We start from the raw sequence: 21816 nt of genomic DNA, 5'->3' as shown, positions 1-21816 counted from the left end.
AGATTTGAAATTTAAAATAGATCTCTTTTGAAAATTTTGTCCATAGTAGTTTCTACAATTTTTTTTTTTTTTCAGGAAAATGCTCTCTGTCTAAAAGATTACCTAATGAACTGGAGATAAATCTTTCTGTTCTGGCCATTGGAATCTTTACTAAATTTATTTATTTATTTATTTATTTATTTAGAGACAGAGTCTCACTCTGTCACCTGGGCTGGAGTGCAGTGGCACGATCTCAGCTTACTGCAACCTCTGCCTCCCGGGTTCAAGCGATTCTGCTGCCTAAGCCTCCCGAGTAGCCGAGACTACAGGCATGCGCCACTACACCCAGCTAATTTTTGTATTTTTAGTAGAGATGGAGTTTCACCATGTTGGCTGGCCAGGATGGTCTCAATCTCTTGACCTCGTGATCCGCCTGCCTCAGCCTCCCAAAGTGCTGGGATTACAGGTGTGAGCCACTGCGTCCAGCCAGTCTTTACTAAATTTATTTTGAGGGAACTAAATTCAAGTCATATATTTGAAAATTCAACTATTTCTAAGAGATTAATGGCTTATTAATCAACAGGGTCGAGTCTAGTAGCAATGTTAATTTGACTAGTGTATTGCTGTTAGTAACTTTATGTACACATTTTCTCTTTTACTTTAGCTGTTAAGCAGAAATACAAGATTGCATCAGAGAAAAATGACATACTTGTTATTTTCTTAGTTGTGTAAACTTATGTAAGAGGTCAAAGGGAGAGTTGTAGAGAGAATAAGAGTAGAGAAAAACGGCGGTAGAGATAATAAAAATATTTTTAAAATGAAATACATTAAGGTTGGTGTAAGGATCAAAATAATAATAAATCAGGAAGGGGAGTTTTTTACATTAGATTACCACTAATCTAAATAGATACGAGTGGCTCACGCCTATAATCCCAGCACTTTGGGAGGCTGAGGCTGAGGCGGGCGAATCACTTGGGCTCAGGAATTAGAGGCCAGTTTGGGCAACATAGTGGAACCCCATCTCTACTGAAAATACAAAAATTAGCAGGGTGTGGTGGCTCACTCCTGTAATCCCAGCTGCTTGGGAGGCTGAAACTGGAGAATTGCATGAACCTGGGAGGCGGAGACTGGAGTGAGTTAGATCATGCTACTGCACTCTACCGTGGGTGACAGAGCCCGGAGACTTTGTCTCCAGGTAGATAGGTAGGTAGGTAGGCAGGCAAGTAGATAGATAGGATTACAAAGTACTTAAAGAGTATCCACTTCTTGTATTGCTTTTTAAATTTGTGAGAGTGTAATTGATAAGAATCAATGTAGATAATGTGATTTGGGATTTATAGTTACCATATAAATAGAAGTTGATGTAACATATCATGGGTTACTTCTTATGTCGAAGTTAAAAAGATTAACTAAGCAGGATATACATGTTTTACACCAGAAAATCTGAGTTAACAGATTCTGCCTCCGTGCTGGATAATTTCAAATTCCTTGAAAGTGCAGCTGCAGATTTCAGTGATGAAGATGAAGATGATGATGTTGATGGAAGAGAGAAAAGCGTCATTGATACTTCAACAGTGAGTTAGATAACTCATACAATATAAATATTTTTAGGGACTATAATACATACTGTATAATGCATAAAAGAATCCATGTTCTTTAATCTTAACCCGTAGCTTTTTCTTTTTCATGAATTTGGAGACATTTATGAGAGTTTGTAATACTGATTTCAAGTTGAGAATATTTTTAATATAGTAGCTTTCTCTTGAAATTCCTCACTGTTTGACTTTTTGTTCATTCATTGAACAGGACAACTTTTCTATGGGGCAGATGAATATAGTAAATATTGTGTGTTATAACAATGCAGGGTTATTGGTTGTTACAAGAGAATAGAATTGACAGACACATCATGGTGCCTGATGGCAGCTAGCATCAGCTCTAATATATGCAGTTTTTGTCTCTTGTCAGGATTGTTTTGGTAGGCAAACTTTCAGAACTCTTCCATTAGAGTTCTTCAAAATTGTTTAGGGTTCTTCTCAAGTTTTGTTCAGATGTTGATAAGCTTATTGACTTTCCCATGGCAGGTTCTTGGAATGAGAGATGTCTCGAAGTAGCCACTTCTTTCTCTTCCCTTCTCCATTTTCTTCTCTTCTTCCCTCTTTCCCCCTTTTCCTCTCTCTTCGCTTTTCTCCCCTCTTCCCCTTCTCCCTTCTCTCTCTCCTTCCTTCTTCCTCCTACTCCTTTTCCTTCTTTTTAAAGTAAGATATGAGGACATGTTTCACTTTGTCTAGGAAAATGTTTGCATTTTCTCTTTCACATTAATTTATGAATAGAGAGGAGGAAAGTAAAGTAATATAAAGCAGATCGGACCTCTAACTAAAAGACTTGGGTTTAAGCTCCAGTTCTGCCACTATTTGTGTTTCTTAATGCTTCAGGCTTAGTTTTTTCATTTGTAAAATGAGGATTGTTATAAATAGCCATCTTAACCTTGGAGGATTTTGTGAGGAACAAAGAGACACTATGTGCGAAAATGATCTGTTTAACTATAAAGTGCTTTCTAAGTGTAACCTCTGTGTGTTTTATGCCTTCTGCTTCTGAGGCTCCATCAGAGACTCAAATTATTACTACCAGATTATTGTTTTCCATCACGACTATTCAATAGTACTCTACTGGTAAAGCCCTGCCTTGGAAATTATTTGAAATTCAAGTAGTAACTTCCAATTTTTCTTATCCAAAGAAGTAGTAATAGCCTGTGTCTTAATTTACCATAGTAAAAGGAAAAGCCTAAATTTCAATGACACTTTTTCTGTGTCCTGATCATCTGGAAATTGGGTAGTCCCTTGTGATTTCTGTGGGATGCTGGCATTGAGATATTATTTTTCCATCAAAATACTTTATTCATAGCTCAGTATTAAATAATGCCTTGAATCATGATGCTATGTTTCTGTTAGTGATATCAATTTAAATATTTAAAATATTTATAAACTAATTATTAAAACTGTTACATATGATCTTACTAGAAATTCCTAAACCATAGACTGTTGTCTTTTTAAGTAAACAACATAATAAATATACTGTCTTCTAATTAGTGCAGATCATAGCAGTTCTGTGCTGCGTGCAGTGGCTTGTGCCTGTAACCCCAGCTACTCAGGAGGCTGAAGTGGGAGGATCACTTGAGGCCAGGAGTTTGGGACCAGCCTAGGCAACATAGCAAGACCCCATATCTAAAAAAAAAATTTTTTTTTAATTAGCCATGTGTGATACTGCATGGGAGGCTGAGGAAGGAGGATCGCTTGAGCCCAGGAATTTGATGTTGCAGTGAGCCATGATCATGCTACTGCACTCAAAAATTTTTTTAGTTTTGGCTGGGTACGGTGGCTCACACCTGTAATCCCAGCACTTTGGGAGGCCGAGACGGATGGATCACTAGGTCAGGAGATCAAGACCATCCTGGCTAACGCGGTGAAACCCTGTCTCTACTAAAAATACAAAAAAAATTAGCTGGGTATGGTGGCGAGTGCCTGTAGTCCCAGCTACTCGGGAGGCTGAGGCAGGAGAATGGCGTGAACCCAGGAGGCAGAGCTTGCAGTGAGCTGAGATTGCGCCACTGCACTCCAGCCTGGGTGACAGAGCGAGACTGTCTCAAAAAAAAAATATATATATATTTTTTAGTTTTTTTTGGAAAAAAATATTTCTAAGCAAATCACTGGTTTTAACAGTTTTGCTTATTTTTTACATTATATTACATTAATTTGCACAGCTACACTCACATAGCTATATGCCGAAAAGGACTTTAACAACCTAATTCTGTGTAGCAGTGAATAAGCATAACTTACTGCATTCTATAGGAAAAGCTGAAAGTTATCCTATTAAAATGTCAAGTAGAACAAGTTTTAAAAATGTTATTTTATTTTATTTTTCTTTTTTTTTTTGAGACGGAGTTTCACTCTTGTTGCCCAGGCTGGAGTGCAGTGGTGTAATCTCAGCTGACTGCAACCTCCGCCTCCTGGGTTCAAGCAATTCTCCTGTCTCAGCCTCCCGAGTAGCTGGGATTACAAGCATGCACCACCACACCCGGCTGATGCTGTATTTTTAGTAGAGACAGGGTTTCTCCATGTTGGTCAGGCTGGTCTCGAACTCCTGACCTCAGGTGATCCGCCTGCCTTGGCCTCCCAAAGTGCAGGGATTACAGGTGTGAGTCACTGCACTTGGCCCTTATTTTTCTTTGCCATCATTATCAGTATTCTCGTCATCACCAGTTAAGTGTAATAACAACTCTGAGATTATACATGCATGTAAAAAGTGATCAGTTTCAAACTGTGTGAAGCCTAACTTCTGCAGCAGCATTTAGTCTCCACATTCAGGAACTTTAGGAGGAAAAAGAATGGAACTAAGAGCTATTAACTATTTTTTTTAGCCACAGTATAAAGAATCCCACGTCCCCTTGTGTCATGGCCCTCCTAATGGTTTTTGAAGTGACAGTTTATTCATTTTTCTAATCTACTTAGGCATCCTGTGCAACCCATAACTTCTTTGGTTTTCTCTTAATTTCCTAAATTGATTTATAAGCTCATCGAAGGTAGAAGTGGAGTGGAACCTTCTATGTCAGGAAGAAAAGTAATACATGCTTATTATTACAAACTCTACCTCTTCCGATTCTGATCCTGTTCTCCAGTGGTAAACACAATTCATTTTTCTTCTCTACCCAAACATTAAAAGCAGAGGACTTTTGGTTTATTTATTTAAAGTGAGATACTTAGTAAATAGTAATCTGCAATGACAGTAATAAATGTCATTTATCTTTATTCTTTGTAAGGTTATACTGAGGTGGTGAGACTAGAAACAAGTTTTTCCCCCCAAGAGTTGCTTTTATTACTTAATACCTAATATTTAATGTTGAAAATATATTCATACTTGGAATTTGAGGTTCCACATGCTTCTTATGGATTTTGCCTGCTCTTTTTGTCAGGCAGTGAGAACGAGGACTCTGTAAGATGTTGGTGGTGGTCCCTCTGAATTACAGCTGGCAACTCATCAGAGTCTAGAAGATGGAGGGATTAAGCCTCTAGGGTAAAAGAAGGTAGATTAGGCAATATATTTATATGTGGAACTCTGAGAATTGGGGTGTCCTGTTGGCATAACTCTTCAGATACACCTGTTTTTTTTCTTTTTTTTTGAGATGGAGTCTCGCACTGTCACCCAGGCTGGGGCGCAGTGGCGTGATGTCAGCTCACTGCAAGCTCCGCCTCCTGGGTTCACGCCATTCTCCTGCCTCAGCCTCCCGAGTAGCTGGGACTACAGGTGCCCACCACCATGCCTCGCTAATTTTTTTTTTTTTTTTTTGTATTTTTAGTAGAGACGGGGTTTTTACCATGTTAGGCAGGAGGGTCTCCACCTCCTGACCTCGTGATCCACCCATCTCGGCCTCCCAAAGTGCTGGGATTACAGGCATGAGCCACCGTACCTGGCCCAGATACACCTTTCTACCTTAGTCTGGCTACCTAGGGAAAATTAGAATAGATTATTAGAATATGGTTTGTATTTATAAAAGAATACACATTCAGCACGGGTTTTCTGTTCCCAGTCTGCCACACTGATCTTGCTTTTTTTGTTTGTTTGTCTAATAGATTTGCTAGATGGTAGATTGGGAGGTGCTGTAAGCATAGAAGTATTTCTTGATTTTAGGAAAATATCCCAAATAGTTAAACAAATTATTCTAGCATCATTAAATAATCCTTTGATTTCTCCTATCCAATTGTGTTTTTTTTTTTTTTAGACGGAGTCTTGCTCTGTCGCCCAGGCTGGAGTGCAGTGGCGCGATCTTGGCTCACTGCAAGCTCTGCCTCCCAGGTTCACGCCATTCTTCTGCCTCAGCCTCCCGAGTAGCTGGGACTACAGGTGCCTGCCACCATGCCTGGCTAATTTTTTGTCTTTTTAGTAGAGACAGGGTTTCACCGTGTTAGCCAGGATGGTCTCGATCTCCTGACCTCTTGATCCACCCACCTCGGCCTCCCAAAGTGCTGGGATTACAGGCATGAGCCACCGGGCCCGGCCACTCCTTTACAGTTTTTATATGTATCAGGACAGTTAAGGCTAGATAGGAGTTGTTTATGATGCCACCTTTGTTCTGTTGGTAGTGGCTTCTTGGAGTGCTGTACTGAGAAGGATTTCTGAGGCTGTATCTTGTTTTTGAAGAAGAATGCTGTGATTGATGAATGATACCAATTAACAGCATGGGAACAGGGCCATACAAGTCACGTGTTTGTCATCTTTGGGGTCTACTTCTCAACTCTCTAGTCTATCCTATTGGTCTGTCTGTAAAACTTTTATAATTTTAAGCCACTCACAATAGCCCAGCGATAACATTTGATCCTATCATGTTATTTCTGTTTTGCATGAAGTGAGTAAGCTGAAGTCTAGAGAAACTGAGATATTGAAATCTTATTCAAAGAAAATGCAAACCTAGCATCCTAATTTCTTTAGGCCCATGTTGGTAAAGGTGACTGAGATGGAGACAGTTCATAAAGAGCTTAGGCATGTAGATCACAAAAATTGTCCCTGCATGTATTCAGCTTAAGTTTTAGCCCTTCAATTGGATTTGTGATTCCAGAGTTATTTCTAAATATAGAAAAATGAACCATAGCAACCTTTACCAATTTGTTGTTAAATCTAAGTTAGATGTACTCTGAAAGATCAACATTTTAGGGAAAAAAATAAATACATGGAGAGCTACTAGAGAAAACTGATGCAAGGTTAGGACAGTAGAAATAATTATGGGAACCTTGTAAATCGTATATCTGTCATTTCAGTACATGTCTTATATTTCAGTATGTGGTTCCGTTAGTTTACTTAAAACAAGCCATAATACCGTTGAGCAAAGTTTAAATTACTGCTTTAAAATTTATAATGTACATATTTTTTAAAACTATGTGATTTTCACTGAGTTAGGTAGTACAGTTATTTAACACAACAAACGTATACTTTCTGAAGAAAATAATTGAATTTTCTTATTCAGTGGTAAAGGGAAACTATCTCCTTTATTTAATTTAGCATGTTTTTTCATTAGATTGTTAGGAAAAAAGCATTGCCTGACAGCGGTGAAGATCGAGATACAAAAGAAGCTCTAAAGGAGTTTGACTTCTTGGTTACATCAGAGGAAGGAGACAATGAATCTAGAAGTGCAGGCGATGGAACAGACTGGGGTAAGGAAGCATACTGGATCCAACCAGAGATGTTAAGTAAATAAAAGAAATTAATATTTTACCAGGAGGGCAACATCTTAACTATAATGTTGAAATATTGAGCATTCTGTGAACTTATTACTACTAGCACCCTTTATCCAGGGTGAATGTGTGTGTATGTTTAAGGAACATTGTATAACTACCTCATTTAAAAAGAAAAAAAAACAACAACAATACAGTATGAAAAGAATTTGAATTACTATACAGAATATTCTCTGTTTTCTGTTTAGACAGTGGAACTTGCAAATCTAGATTTTTGTGGAAATTGATTATGAGACTTTAGTTGGAGGATTTTTGGAGATCTCATTGCTGACATCTTACATGCGAAAAGAAGTATGAGTTAAAAAATTGTAGTCAGTCATTTATCATAAAGATTTGACAGTTCGTAAAAGGCATAGAATTTTTCTTCTCAAAATGTTCTAAAAAATCAAATATTTTAAACACCTAATAAGAGTTGAAACAAGTATTTTGGGGAAAATCCGTCTCATAAAAAAAAGGTCATTTAATTTTTCCTGTAAAAATGTTGTGCATAAATCGTTAAAAGTACGCTTAGGGGTTTTTTTTGCTATTGAAAGCAGTGCCATACTGAAATTACATTTTTAATTGTCTGTAACATATATAAAGAAATCTTACTTAGAGTTGTATATTGACTTTTTATACAGGCATTAAGGCTTATAGCCAGGACTGAGTTGCAGCAGCAGGATCTGCTATGTTTATGCTTTATTACTGGCACCTGAAAGTTTTCATTGTTTTTCTTTCTAGCTCAGCAGTATATTTACTTTTTTTTTTTTCATACCGAGTCTCACTCTGTCACCCGGGCTGGAGTGCAGTGGCTTTTTGATACCGAGTCTCACTCTGTCACCCAGGCTTGAGTGCAGTGGCGTGATCCTGGCTCACTGCAACTTCCAGTTCCCGGGTTCAAGCAATTCTCATGCCTCAGCCTCCTGAGTAGCTGGGACTACAGTGTGCGCCACCAGGCCTGGCTAATTTTTGTATTTTTAGTAGTAACAGGGTTTCACCATGTTGGCCAGGCTGGTCTCGAATTCCTAACATCAGGTGATCTGCCTGCCTCGGCCTTCCAAGGTGCTGGGATATCAAGCATGAGCCACTGCTCCCAGCCTTGTATTTACTTTTTTAAAGTTAGGTTTTATATTATGTTCTTCCCAGAAGAGGATAGGGATCTGTTGGTTTGGGTCCAGCCTTTCATGATGTTTGAACTTGAATTCTCCATATGAATTTTAAAATTATTTCTTCATGTTGTGTGAATAACTGAAGATTAGATTTTAGTTTCATATATATGTAAATAATTTGCAGCTAATTGTTATCTTTTCAATATTGAGTGTTCTTCTCAATAAAAAAGATACATGTCCCAAATTATACAGATTACCCTATTTATAAATAGTGTTTTTTTGTTTTTTGTTTGTTTTTTTCTTTTTCAACTTTCAGTTTTGGGAGTACATTTGCAGGTTTGTTACTTGGGTATATTGCGTGATGATGCAGTTCAGGGTGTAAATGATACTGTCACCCATGTACTGAGCATAGTACCCTTACGTATCAGTTGGTTTTTCAGCGCTTACTGCCCTCCCTGCCTCCTGCCTCTAGTAGTCCCAGGTGTCTTTGTTGCCATCTTTATGTCCCTAAGTGCCTACTGTTTAGCTCCCAGTTATAAGTGAGAACATGTAGTATTTGGTTTTCTGTTTCTATGTTAATTTACTTAGGATAAATACAGATTCTAATATACCTTCGAGAACTAGAACACAGCCTGTAAGACTGGGACACAGGTATTAATTCTGTCTAAATGTTACTTAGTGTGTTTTACTTAAAATGAAGAACTTTTTTTACGTTTTTAGTTACACACATCAGAAATACTAATTAAATCCCTATTTTTTTGGTATATTTCTTCTCTGAAGGAAAAATGAAAGAGTTCTAAAGCCAAAATGAAAAAAAGTAAGATACCTTTTCCTTCTCTCATTCATTTAAAAATTCTGTTGAACTTTTTTCTCCTTCATGATTGCTTGGTCATTATATGTAGTGACTGATAAGAAAACTCTCCTAGATAAGTTCAAGGAAAAGGTTTCCTAATGTTTTTAACAGACAAAAATAGATTTTTTGTAAACTTTTTTCCATCTGAAACATTTTACAGTAAAACTAATTTGTGCTTACCTCAAGGAAATGTTCTTCCTCTGTAAATATTGAACAATCCCAGTGGCACAAGGTCTACAAGAGATATTATGTTATGTTGCTAATTTTTCTGCCTTGCATTCAAAGTAGACTCAACCCCGCCTTACTTATCAGAAACCATTATAATAAGGGCATTTGTTGAATCTTTTTTTTTTGACAGAGTCTCACTCTGTTGCCCAGGCTAGAGTGCAGTGGTGCAATCTTGGCTCACTGAAATCTCCGCCTTCTGGATTCAAGCAGTTCCCTGCCTCAGCCTCCAGAGTAGCTGGGATTACAGGCGCCTGCCACCACGCCCGGCTATTTTTTGTATTTTAGTAGAGACAGGGTTTCACCATGTTGGTCAGGCTGGTCTTGAACTGCTGGCCTCAAATGATCTGCCTGCCTTGGCCTCCCAAAGCGCTGGGATTACAGGTATGAGCCACTAGGCCTGTCCCATTTGTTGAATCTTTTAATGACTCTTCTTGTTGAGGTGTTAAAGTAAGTTACTTAAGTAAGGCTGTCTGTCTATCCCTGATGTGAAATTCGAAATCTGAAATGCTCCAAATTCTGAAACTTTTTGAGCACTGCCATGATATTTAAAGAAAATACGCATTGGAGCATTTTGGATTTTGGATTTTTGGATTGGGGGGTGCTGAACCAGTATAGTACAAATATTCCAAAATCCAAAATAATTTGAAATCCGAAATACTTCTAGTCCCAAGCATTTCGGGTAAGGGATAGTCACCTGTAGTGTATTATTTTGCTTTTATGTTGGAGCTTCCTATGAGAGGAAGAAACTGATTATACTTCTAAGTCCAGCTGACTTCTTCTTGCCCTTAGTGTTCAGTTGAAAATTACTTTCTAGAATGATTGGTAGGTTCATTTGCCCAAGAATCATTAAAAAATAGTTTTCTGGGCCAGGCGCAGTGGCTCACGCCTGTAATCCCAGCACTTTGGGAGGCCGAGGCGGGTGGATCACCTGAGGTCAGGAGTTTGAGACTAGCCTGGCTAACCTGGTGAAACCCCATCTCTACTAAAAATATGAAAATTAGCTGGGCATTGGGGCGGGTGCCTGAAATCCCAGCTACTCGGGAGGCTGAGGTAGGAGAATCACTTGAACCTGGGAGGCAGAGGTTGCAGTGAGCCAAGATGACGCCATTGCACTCCAGCCTGGGCGACAGAGCGAGACTCTGTCTCAAAAAAAAAAAAAAAAAAAAAAAAGTTTTCTGGTGCAGTGATAATATTGACAATAGTAACTTTATAACCATAGCACACAATAAATTTTTCATATGCCTTTACTTTTGCTTAAACCATGTAAATTTGCCATTACCTTCAGGGACTCTGTCATGGTACCAATGACACTTCTTTTCCTTTTTTTGTAGTAAATAAAAGATACTTATTTAGTCATTGAAGAATACAGTGGGTACCTAGTGACTGGCTTTTCTTTCAAGAAAACAAGTCTGGAAACCAAGGAGATGTTAAAGTGAAACAGGCCTTTATTCTGTCTTATTCCCTACTGAGCTTGTGTATCAAGTTACTCATATTTTAGGCAAGTCCACCAACATAGCTGCATCTACTGTGCCACACTGAGGTCTTTCTCTGAGGAATCACACATCTGCATAGATATAGTTGGTCATTTTAATTGTGAATCATATTGCAAGGGTACCGGAGATTGGTTTTTCTCCGAGGACAGCTGCACTGTTCCTTGTGTAACTTCCTTTACTTTAACGTGTGAGTCATAGCTCAGTGTATTATATGATACATGTGTGTACATTTTACCTAGCCTATTATATGAGTCACATGCTTGACTGTTCTCACAACTGAGTTGTCTCCTTCTTTAGTAGTGTGCTGGATAGTTCTGTTAGTGAGCATGAGTAAATGGAATCTTTCGGTTTCCTGGAGGTTTCTTTACCAGTAGTTTGACCTGTATGTTTTAGGATTTTATAATTCAGATTCAAAGGGTTCACTTTTAACAAATTAACAAAACTAGGTTGCAAATCTTGTCTAATTGAGTGAACATTTAAACGATTTTAAGGGTTCTCTCCATCTGTCTTCTACTCTACTCCCCCCCACCCCCCCCAAAAAAAAGAAGAATATGCTTAGGTTGAGAATCTGGTTAGATTCTGGCAAGCAAAAAGATTTTACCATACATCTTCCATGATTGCTATTGTTTTTATGAGTCTAGTAAGATTATAAGGCTACATTTTAACTTCAAAAACCTGAAGACATTTGGGGACCCAAAAGCCATCTAGTTTAATTTATTATTAAGACCTGATTGATGAAAATTAACATTTTTAATTGTTATGTCTTTCTGGGAAAATAAAGAATGTTTCTCCTATTGATAGATTATAGTTAAGTATATAAAAATGTTGTTTAAAATGATTTTTAATAGTATTATATTCAGAGGCCCAGGAAACAGTTTTCTAAACTGGATTGAAACTCAAATTATTAAAAACAGATTTCTGTTTATTATGATTCACTTTGGTTTACTCGGATCATTCATTCAACAAATATTGATCAAGTGCTTTCTATTTGCTGGGTTTTCTAGGTGAAGATACTTATTCTTCTGGTGCTTACATTCAACTAAGAGGATATAGTATGTCAGAAGGTGATAAATGCTATGGAAAGTAGAAAAAGTACAGAGTAAGGGAGATAGAGAGAGCTGGGGTCAGTGTGGGGTAGAGAAGGCAGGTTACAATTCAAAATAGAGTGGTTAGCTGGGTGCAGTGGCTCATGCCTGTAATCCCAGCACTTTGGGAGGCTGAGGTGGGAAGATTGCTTGAGCCCAGGAGTTTGAGACCAGCCTGGGCAACATAGTGAGACCTCATCTCTACAAAAAATTTTTTAAAAATTAGCCGGGCATGGTGGTACACACCTGTTGTCCCAGCTACTTGCAGGGCAGAGGTGGGAGGATCGCTTCAGCCCAGGAGGTCAAGGCTGCAGTGAGTTGAGATTGTGACAGTGCACCCCAGCTGGTTTGATAGAATGAGATTCTGCCTCAAAAATAAATGGATAAGTAAATAAATGCACACACACACACACACACACACACACACACATATAAATTAAAAACCCATGAAATATAGTGGCCATGATAAGCCCCATTGAGAAGATAACAATTGAGTAAAAGACGTGATGAGGGAATTGGCCATCTGGGGAAGAAGTGTTCAGGAAGAAGAAAGCCAGTGCAAATGCCTTAAGATAGTAGCAGCATCCCTGGCATGCCTGAGAAATTTAAGGGAGCCAGAGTGGCTAGAGCAGAGTGATTCTAGGGAGAATGTAGTAAGAAATGACCAGATCATGTTGAGCCATGTAGACCAGTGGTGAGATGGGGAGCCATGGGAGGGATTTGAGCAAGAAGGGTGACACGATCTTTTATTTTAAACCATCTTTGGCTGCTACATTGAGAATAGACTACACAGGGAAACCAGTGTTGATAATAGACATGGGGAAGGGGGAACAATTATTGCAGTAATCCTAGCAAGAGATCATAGTGATCAGAGTAGTAGTAGATGTGCTGAGAAGCCAGATTCTGAATATTTGTGAAGGTAGAGAAAATAGTTTTCCCTGATATATTTTATGTGGAGTGGGAAAGAATGGGTTTTGCTCTGAAAAAGTGCACGTATGGAATTGTCATCAAATAAGGTGGGGAACCCTTTGGATGGAACAGATTGGATGGGGAGAGAGGTTGGGTGTTTGGTTTTGTATGTTTGCTTGGAGGTATCTGTTAGACTTCCTAATGGAAATGTAGAATGAACAGTTGGATGTATCAGTCTTGGGTTCAAGCTAGCATTCTGAGTTAACATTTACATAGCATTATATAGTATTTACATTGTTTTATAGTAAATATAAATACATAACATAGTTTTTAAATTTTCTTCTCTTGAAATAGTGACAATTGATTATTGATTTTCTTTACTACTAGAAACTCAGTTTCCTGTTTTAAGAATTTATAAACTAACATCATTTAAGTTGTAAATTTTAAATGAAGGTTGATTAATAAATTTTTCAAATGCTATGTATTAAGCCTGTAAAATAAAAATTATCACTTACTAATGAACACATGGCAAAAATATAAACTTCTTTAAAAGATCATTGGCGTTTATTTTGTACAATCCCTAAATAAAAATTTTCTCTCATCACATAAATTAATACAAAGTCTTTTTGTGTTAGTCCTAGAGGAATTCTGAAAACGAGAAGTTCTGTTTTTTGTTTTTTGTTTTTTTTTGAGACAGAGTTTTGCTCCTGTTGCCCAGGCGGGAGTGCAATGGCACAATCTCGGCTCATTGCAACCTCCGCCTCCCGGGTTCAGGCGAGTCTTCTGCCTCAGCCTCCCAAGTAACTGGGATTACAGGCATGAGGTACCATGCCCGGCTAATTTTGTATTTATTTATTTATTTATTTATTTATTTATTTATTTATTTATTTATTTTACTAGAAATGGGGTTTCACCTGTTGGTCAGGCTGGTCTTGAACTCCTGACCTCATGTGATCCACCCGCCTCAGCCTCCTAAAGTGCTGGAATTATAGGCGTGAGCCACCCCACCTGGCCGAGAAGTTCTTGATTGTAAAGTGTTTGTGCTTAATTTACTAAAAATCACTAAAATCTTCCGTGTGTGTGTGTGTGTGTGTGTGTGTGTGTGTGTGTGTGTGTGTCTTTCAGGAGAAACTGATTCTAGGAAATTGCACTGATCATTTCTTCTTAGTGATTATATTTTTTTGTGTGACTTATATATATAAAATGAATAAACTGACTTTTTTTAAGTTAGTGATACTATAAAGAAAGTGGTTGTTACGTCATTCAGACATACTGACTCAGAGTGTTCAATATTTTATTGAAAAAGGCTGTTTCATTTGTTTCACTCTGTTTAGAAAAGGAAGACCAGTGTCTCATGCCTGAAGCCTGGAATGTGGACCAGGGAGTAATTACCAAACTCAAGGAACAATACAAAAAGGAGAGAAAGGGGAAAAAGGGGGTGAAGAGTAAGTGGAAAACATTGTATCTGTAAATCATAAATCTTGCCTCTTTACATCCCCCAGTTTTTTTTTTCAATGTTTTCCTAAATCTACTTACTCTTTTTCATTTCTGCTCCTGACCTCTTTCCTTTTCACCTGCTCTCAGGGGTTGAAATTAAATGATTAGCTATTTAATTATGAACTTAAAAGAAAACAACCCACATGTACTTATGGAATCATGTATACTATATCCCAATAATAAATCCAGAGCCTCATGAGTGTTGGGCTATGTATTCAAACACAGTGATAATTTGATTTTTAAAAGTACCTGTGCTTAATTATAACAATGTTTTTCTTTTTCATTGACAATTTATAACTCATTTAGTGTGACCCTCTGGCAATCCACCAAAATTATTGCTTATAATTTTAGACATTGGTGACAGAAAGTTAATTTCTACCCCTGAATATTCTATGTGTTCATAACATGCAGTTCATTTGCTCATACCACTATATGCTATACAGGGCACAGAGTCAAATATATAACTTCTAAAAATATTTATTTTCTATTTAAACATTTTTGGCCAATTTTACTTATAACATTATTACCAATGACCTTTTTTCCTTTTTAATGTATGCCACATCAAAAACAAAATCCAAAAGGAAATTTCTAGCCCTGTGAATCATATATGTTTAATTATTTCATTATGCAAATTGTTTAGCAATGGATCTAGTTAAGAATGTAAAATGGAAATACAAAACCTTACAAACCATTCCTGAAAACAGTCTTAAATCATCTTCTTAGGGGAACAAGGCTAAATTACCTCCTTGTGTTTCTACCCTCGTTGACAATATGGGCCTCCCTTTTATGGTAATAGGAATTTGATTATTTGAGATGTTAAGGTAGTATAAAGTGAGATTAAAATCTAACTTAGTGAGAAATGTATTTTAAAGTTGCGAAAGACTGGAAAGGTATGCTTTTTCTTTTTCTCTCTCTGTAGTGATGCTAAAGCTTATTAAAGACCAGTCATTCCTGTTAGGACATTCTTTTAAACTTTATTACTTAAAAGCATTTAAACCTTTATTTAAAATATTTTAGAAATTACAAGCGTTTAGCTTGATTTGATAAAAAGTCAGTGTCTGTTATTGATGTTAAACCATTACATAATGAGAGATGATGTTGTAATGCTATCTCAAGATAGATTAAATCAGAATGAGAAAGATTAATATTAAAACATAAGCACATTTCATACCTTTTCGCCAAATATACTTACTGATAGACAATTTAATCTTAACAAGCATAGGGAGATGATTTGTCTTGGCTTTTGAGAGTCATGACAAAAAACCAGTTAAACTGAAATTTTGAGGAAAATTTGAATGTCATATGTGAGAAATAATTTCCAGATTAACTTAATGTTGATATTTTTCTTTAGGTCATTATGCTACAAAAATGAATGTCTTGAAATACAAAAGATCCTTTAGTTGGAAAGGTAACCAGGACTTAGGCACAATCCATCTACTTTTCCATTGGTTATTCAGTTCTTGTCAAATATCAAGGCATTGCTGTAGTTGGAATTTAACTGAAACTGCACCATTTGACTGGAACAATATTCCTACTAATAGAAGCAATTGGATTTCTTAAATCGGGGGATTAAAATGTGTTCAGACATCTAGCACATGGTTTTTTTTTAGTATGGTGAAGAAAAATGACACTGTAAGGGAGAAATTTTAACATCTTTCATTGAAGAGAGAGGGACTACACATTTCAGCACATTTTGTTTAATGTCTTCAGTTCATGTTATCTTGATAAAATAGCAATCTAGGAACAAGTAAAGACTTAGGATAAAAATAGAACTGAAGCCATGCTTTGAATTGATATATAAAGCATTGAGTTATAAACCACCATAAATTTTTTTTTTTTAATTGAACTAGTACTCATTGGAAAAGTTTGAGTCTTTTCAATGTGGTCTAGTAGAGATATTTCCAGTCAAATCCTGTACTCCAATCATACCATCTTGAAATACATTTCTAGGCATTAGTAAAAATTGCTTAAAAATAGTTGTATTCTTTGCTGGTATAGGAACAAACCATAACAGACTTTGGGTAAGATTTTCCCATTCTTAATTAAACTTGTAACAGGAAAAACTACTGAAGATCTGTTTCAGCCTCTATCCTATATAAAACAGTCAAAACAGGGATGTGGGAGAATGAAGAATCAAAGTTTAGGTAAGTAATCGGTAGGGCATGAGACTTCACCTCGGGTACCATAGCTTCAGGATGTAAGGCAATTAATGCAACTTAATTTAAACAAACAGGGATGTTACTGTTTAATTCAGTGCACAGTAGGCTCACAATCTGTATCTGGCTGCATTTAGAGCAATATTCAGTGGCTAAAGAATGTTATTTTTCATGGTCTAACTGGACACGAGCATTCTTTTTTATGTAAATAGTGATATCCCATTTGCTTAATTTAAAAAGTATAATTCTTTTCAAGAAATAAACTTTTACAGTAATTTGAAAACTTGAAAATAATTCTTATTAATCTAGTAGAATATTTTTAAAGGTAAATATTGACAGATGGAAAATAAGGCTTATAATACCATTTTGATGCAATTGGATAATTCTCTTTTCTCTTTTTTATCTCCTCCCACCCCCCCTTTTTTTGGCTAGGGCCCAATAGGTCAAAACTACAAGATATGCTTGCTAATTTGAGAGATGTTGATGAACTTCCTTCATTGCAGCCATCTGTGGGTTCACCTTCCAGACCCAGCAGCTCCAGGCTTCCTGAACATGAAATTAATAGGGCAGATGAAGGTAAGTATTTAAGATACTCTGGAGCACAAAATGCACTTGGATGTATATCTTTAAATTCATTCATTAGAAAGGCCTCTCCTATTAGAGAGAACTTTATTCTGCAGATGTTTGATCTGCATAGTTTTCCCCAAATGCAAGCTTTCTTACATTCAAGGGAGTTTGATTCCAACTTCAATCTTCAAGACTTGAGAAGGTGCATACACTTAAAAACCAACTCTAAATTCTGGTTTAAAATATCCGCTGGCTCCACTGATGCCCATGGCCCTATATATACCATTCCAACATTGGAAAAATTAGCAGTCTGTAAATTGGTAGTAAATGTTTACTTTGAAACTCATATAAATATTTAAGCAATTTATTAATGATAATTGAAAAAGGGGATAAAGTCACCTAAAAGTCTAGTCACATATTCTGCTATTTTAACTTGTTCCCTTTCAGTCTTGGTTCACATGTGTATACTTTTTTTTTGTTTTTTGAGATGGAGTCTCGCTCTATCGCCCAGGCTGGAGTGCAGTGGCATGACCTTGGCTCGCTACAACCTCCACCTCCCAGGTTCAAGTGATTCTCTTGCCTTAGCCTCCTGAGTAGCTGAGATTACAGGCACCTGCCGCCAAGCCTAGCTAATTTTTTTGTATTTTTAGTAGAGATGGGGTTTTGCCATGTTGGCCAGGCTGGCCTCGAATTCCTGACCTCAAGTGATCTGCCCATCTTGGGCTCCCAAAGTGCTGGGATTACAGGCATGAGCCACCATGCCTGGCCTCACATGTATATACTTTTTATACAGGTATAGAATATACCTATATAAAAATATGCATTATTCTACATCATGTATAATAATTCTATTTTGTGTTCTTAAAATCATACAAATGATTTTCATAATGATAATTTTAAGATTGTATATTATATTGTAGACTTGATATGAAACTTTTGAATATTTAGGTTATTTTTAGTCTTTTGCAGTGTAATCTTATGGTATATAAATACAGTTCTTTCTTTTAGACACAAGGTCTGATTTATCTGTTTATAAATGTGTAAAATGCTTGTATGTGGAAATTGATTTTGAAGTACATATTTAGGCTGAGCCTGGTGGTTCCTTGGGAGGCTGAGGTGGGAGGACACTTGAGCCCAGGAGGTTTGTTTTGTTTTTTGTTTGTTTGTTTTTGGAGACAGGCTGTCACTCTGTCACTCAGATTAGAGTGCAGTGGCGCAATCACAGCTCACCACAACCTTGACCTCTCAGGCTCAGGTGATACTTCCACCTCAGCCTCCTGAGTAGCTAGGACTATAGGCACATGCCACCATGCCCAGATAACTTTTTTATGCTTTTTGTAGAGACATGGTTTTGCCATGTTGTTCAGGCTGATCTCAAACTCCTGGGCTCAAGTGATCCAACTGCGTCGGCCTCCCAAAGTGCTGGGATTACAGGCATGAGCCACTGGGCTCAGCCGCAGTTCAGGAGTTTGAGACTGTAGTGCGTGATGATTGAGTCAGTGAATAGCTACTGCACTCCAGCCTGGGTGACATACTGAAACCCTGTCTCTTAAAACAATCAAATATTTATATTAGCTGAAAATTCAGCATGACATAAAAGTAATTATGATTAATGTATATTTTTAAATACTTATTTAAAAAATTCTGAATTTAAATACTATATTTGCATTGTCTCTTCAAATTATTATTTATTGATCAACACAGCCTGAGAAAAAGCCACAGCATAATCATATGTTTTTTTCTTGTTTTTTTTTAATAAATTACATTTTAGAGAGACATAAACTGATATGATTTAGATGTATCTAGATTTTCACGATTGGAATACTTCTTCAGTGAAATTTTTGACCAGTACATGGTTAATCATTTGTTAGAGTCAATTATAGCACTTGGAATTTATTACCCATACAAAGAATCAACACATCACACTGTAGATGTAAAGTTTATTTGATGTCTTTTGAATTACAGATGTGAGGTCATGGTCCTTAGTAGGTATGTTGATCACTAGGAGATGCATTCTGTTGACATTATAGGTATGAGACTTCTAATCAGTTGCATTAATCCCAAAATCAGGTCTAGATAAGGAGAAAAGTTAGTTTTTCTCTTATTCTCATAATTCAAAAAGTTTATCAGATTTCATCTCAGGCCATACATGAATTATGCAGAATTCTAATAATAGAGGTAGGATATATACTATTTACTAAATGACAGATGTACAAAAGCATTATGTAAGCCACAGAAGATGTCCTTGATAAAAAACATAGTGAGGAACTTTAAAACTCAAGCATTGAATGTTTGTTTAACTTACTATCTGCAGCAGTGGTCCTAAGCCTTCCCCCTCAGTGCAGGTTTTTTGGAAATAGAAAAAACATTTAAGAGATAGATTGTATATTTAATTGTCTATAACTGATACTTCTTGGTCTTCAGTCCACTTTCAGAAAGAATGTTCATATGCTGTGTGTGCTCTATAATTTTGTTACTTTATTTTTATTTTAATAATTCAGAAGGCAGGGCCGGGTGCAGTTTAGTTGCTCACGCCTGTAATCCCAGCACTTTGGGAGGCTGAGGTGGGCAGATCACTTGAGGCCAGAAATTCAAGACCAGCCTGGCCAACATGGCAAAACCCTGTCTCAAATAAAAATACAAAAATTAGCTGGACATGGTGGCGTGTGCCTGTAGTCCCAGCTACTTGGGAGGCTGAGGCAGGAGAATCACTTGAACCCAGGAGGCGGAGGTTGCAGTGAGCTGACATCACACCACTGCACTTCAGTCTGGGTGACAGAGTGAGATTCTGTCTTAAAAAAAAAAAAAAAAAAAAAAAAAAAGAAGGCAGTGTCACATTTAAAAGGCACAGGGTTTTGTTTTGTTTTGTTTTTTGGTAAAAGCTGATTAGGGCTAGGAAGGTTTAGTTGCCAGATGGAAACGTGACCTATAGTCTTAAGTTCTAAGGCTCCTTAGGAACAATCAGGTAACAGTGATGCTTATTATTGCTCTGCCTCATCAGTCCTGGAGTGTCCTGGCTGTCCACTGGTATGTAAGGAAGGAGTTGTTACCTCCTTTGTTTTCAGGTTTTACTTGGCCATTTGTAGAGCAGTAGTTAGAATTAACTTACATAATTTATATGGTCTATCCTAGGAATCTTAGTCTTTTACACCTGAACAAAGTTATCTGGAAATGTTAGAAATGGGAACAAATCAAACAAAAAACACCTGGCTGAAGACCTACCATCATAGTCTCACATGAGTCATTCAACTGATATTTTTGACCTGAAAATTGCTGTTGTAACTTCAACAATTCCTATTCTTCATTAGTAAATGTTTAGAGTTGTTTGAACTTCTCGGATGATATATGGTATTTTGGGTAAAACCTATGTTTATTTTTGCTACTGTATTGTATGGTAGTTTGATAATGTCTTAATTTATGCTCTATTTTGTTCTGATGAGGATTTTAAGAGTTTGTCACTACTGTTTTTAAAAGCAAGTAACTATTTTTAAATTTTTTTTAAAGACATGGTCTTGCTCTGTTGCCTAGGTTGGAGTGCAGTGGTACAGTCATAGCTCACTGTAGCCTCAAACTCCTGGGCTCAAGAGATCCTCCTGCCTCAAGCCTTCCAGTTAGCTAGGACTAGAGGCATGCACCACCATGCTTGGTTAATTGTTAAAAAAAATTTTGTAGAGGCCGGGCATGATGGCTCACGCCTGTAATCCCAACACTTTGGGAGGCCAAGGCAGGGAGATCGCTTGAGGTCAGGAGTTTGAGACCAGCCTGGCCAACGTGGCAAAACCCCATCTCGACTAAAAATACAAAAATTAGCCAGGCATGGTGGCAGGTGCCTGTAATCTCAGCTACTTGGGAGGCTGAGACAGGAGAATTTGCTTGAACCTGGGAGGTGTACGTTGCAGTGAGCTGAGATCACACCACTGCACTCCAGCCTGGGTGACAGAGTGAGACCCCGTCTCAGATTTTTTTTTTTTTTTAAGATATAGGGGTCTTGCCCTGTCGCCCAGGCTGGTCTCAGACATCTGGCCCCAAAGGGTCCTCTCACCTTGGTATCCCAAAACACTAAGATTACAGGCATGAGCCTCCGAGCCTGGCCAATTCTTTCATTTATTCAATGAGTATTTATTAATAGACATGATTGAATATAAAACTGAAAAATGTCTTGTACGTGCACTAGTCAATACAGTTGACTTGTTTCTTTTAAGAAAATTAATTTACCCCTTTAGCAGCTAGGGTTTGAACTACTAAATTCATCTTATTGACTCACAAATGTTTGTCATATGTAACCATCTGTAGGAAACTACTCAAAGACTATCTCTGACGTTTGTCAGAACAAATTGCATTTATAAAGAGTGACATTTTGTTATTGACCAAATTAAATAAAATCATTATTTTAATTAGACATATTGCTTTTAACTGATTTTTCTATGATGGTTGTTGAAGGAATTGGATTGTTATGTTCAAAATGTTACAAAATAGGATATTTCAGGTTATTCACAAAGTAAAACTGACATCTTTGAAGCACAGTTCACAGCTAATGAAAGTGTTCAAATGGACACTTTAAAAAATTTTCTCGCTGGGCGTGGTGGCTCACGCCTGTATCCCCAGCACTTTGGGAGGCCAAGGTCGGTGGATCACCTGAGATCAGAATTTGAGATTAGCCTGGTCAACATGGGGAAACCCC

General features: G+C 37.3%; 1 protein-coding gene across 3 annotated transcripts in view; it reads left to right on the top strand.

Moving 5' to 3' along the window:
- The window catches only part of STRN (striatin), a 128839-nt gene that overhangs the window by 65461 nt on the left and 41562 nt on the right, over positions 1 to 21816 (top strand). Inside the window, exons 6-10 of one of the 3 annotated variants that reach the window (XM_011533073.3) lie at positions 1418 to 1553; positions 7043 to 7178; positions 14250 to 14360; positions 16470 to 16556; positions 17001 to 17144. In XM_011533073.3, coding sequence (XP_011531375.1) covers positions 1418 to 1553; positions 7043 to 7178; positions 14250 to 14360; positions 16470 to 16556; positions 17001 to 17144 — 614 coding nt within the window. The remainder of the gene's footprint in view (positions 1 to 1417; positions 1554 to 7042; positions 7179 to 14249; positions 14361 to 16469; positions 16557 to 17000; positions 17145 to 21816) is intronic. The other 2 variants (NM_003162.4, XM_005264519.6) reach the window with 2 other exon arrangements.

This window comes from Homo sapiens, chromosome 2 (genome assembly GCF_000001405.40).
Source record: "Homo sapiens chromosome 2, GRCh38.p14 Primary Assembly".
Taxonomy (NCBI): Eukaryota; Metazoa; Chordata; class Mammalia; order Primates; family Hominidae; genus Homo; species Homo sapiens.
Note: the sequence above shows the minus strand (reverse complement) of the source record. Positions and strands in the feature narration are given on the sequence as shown.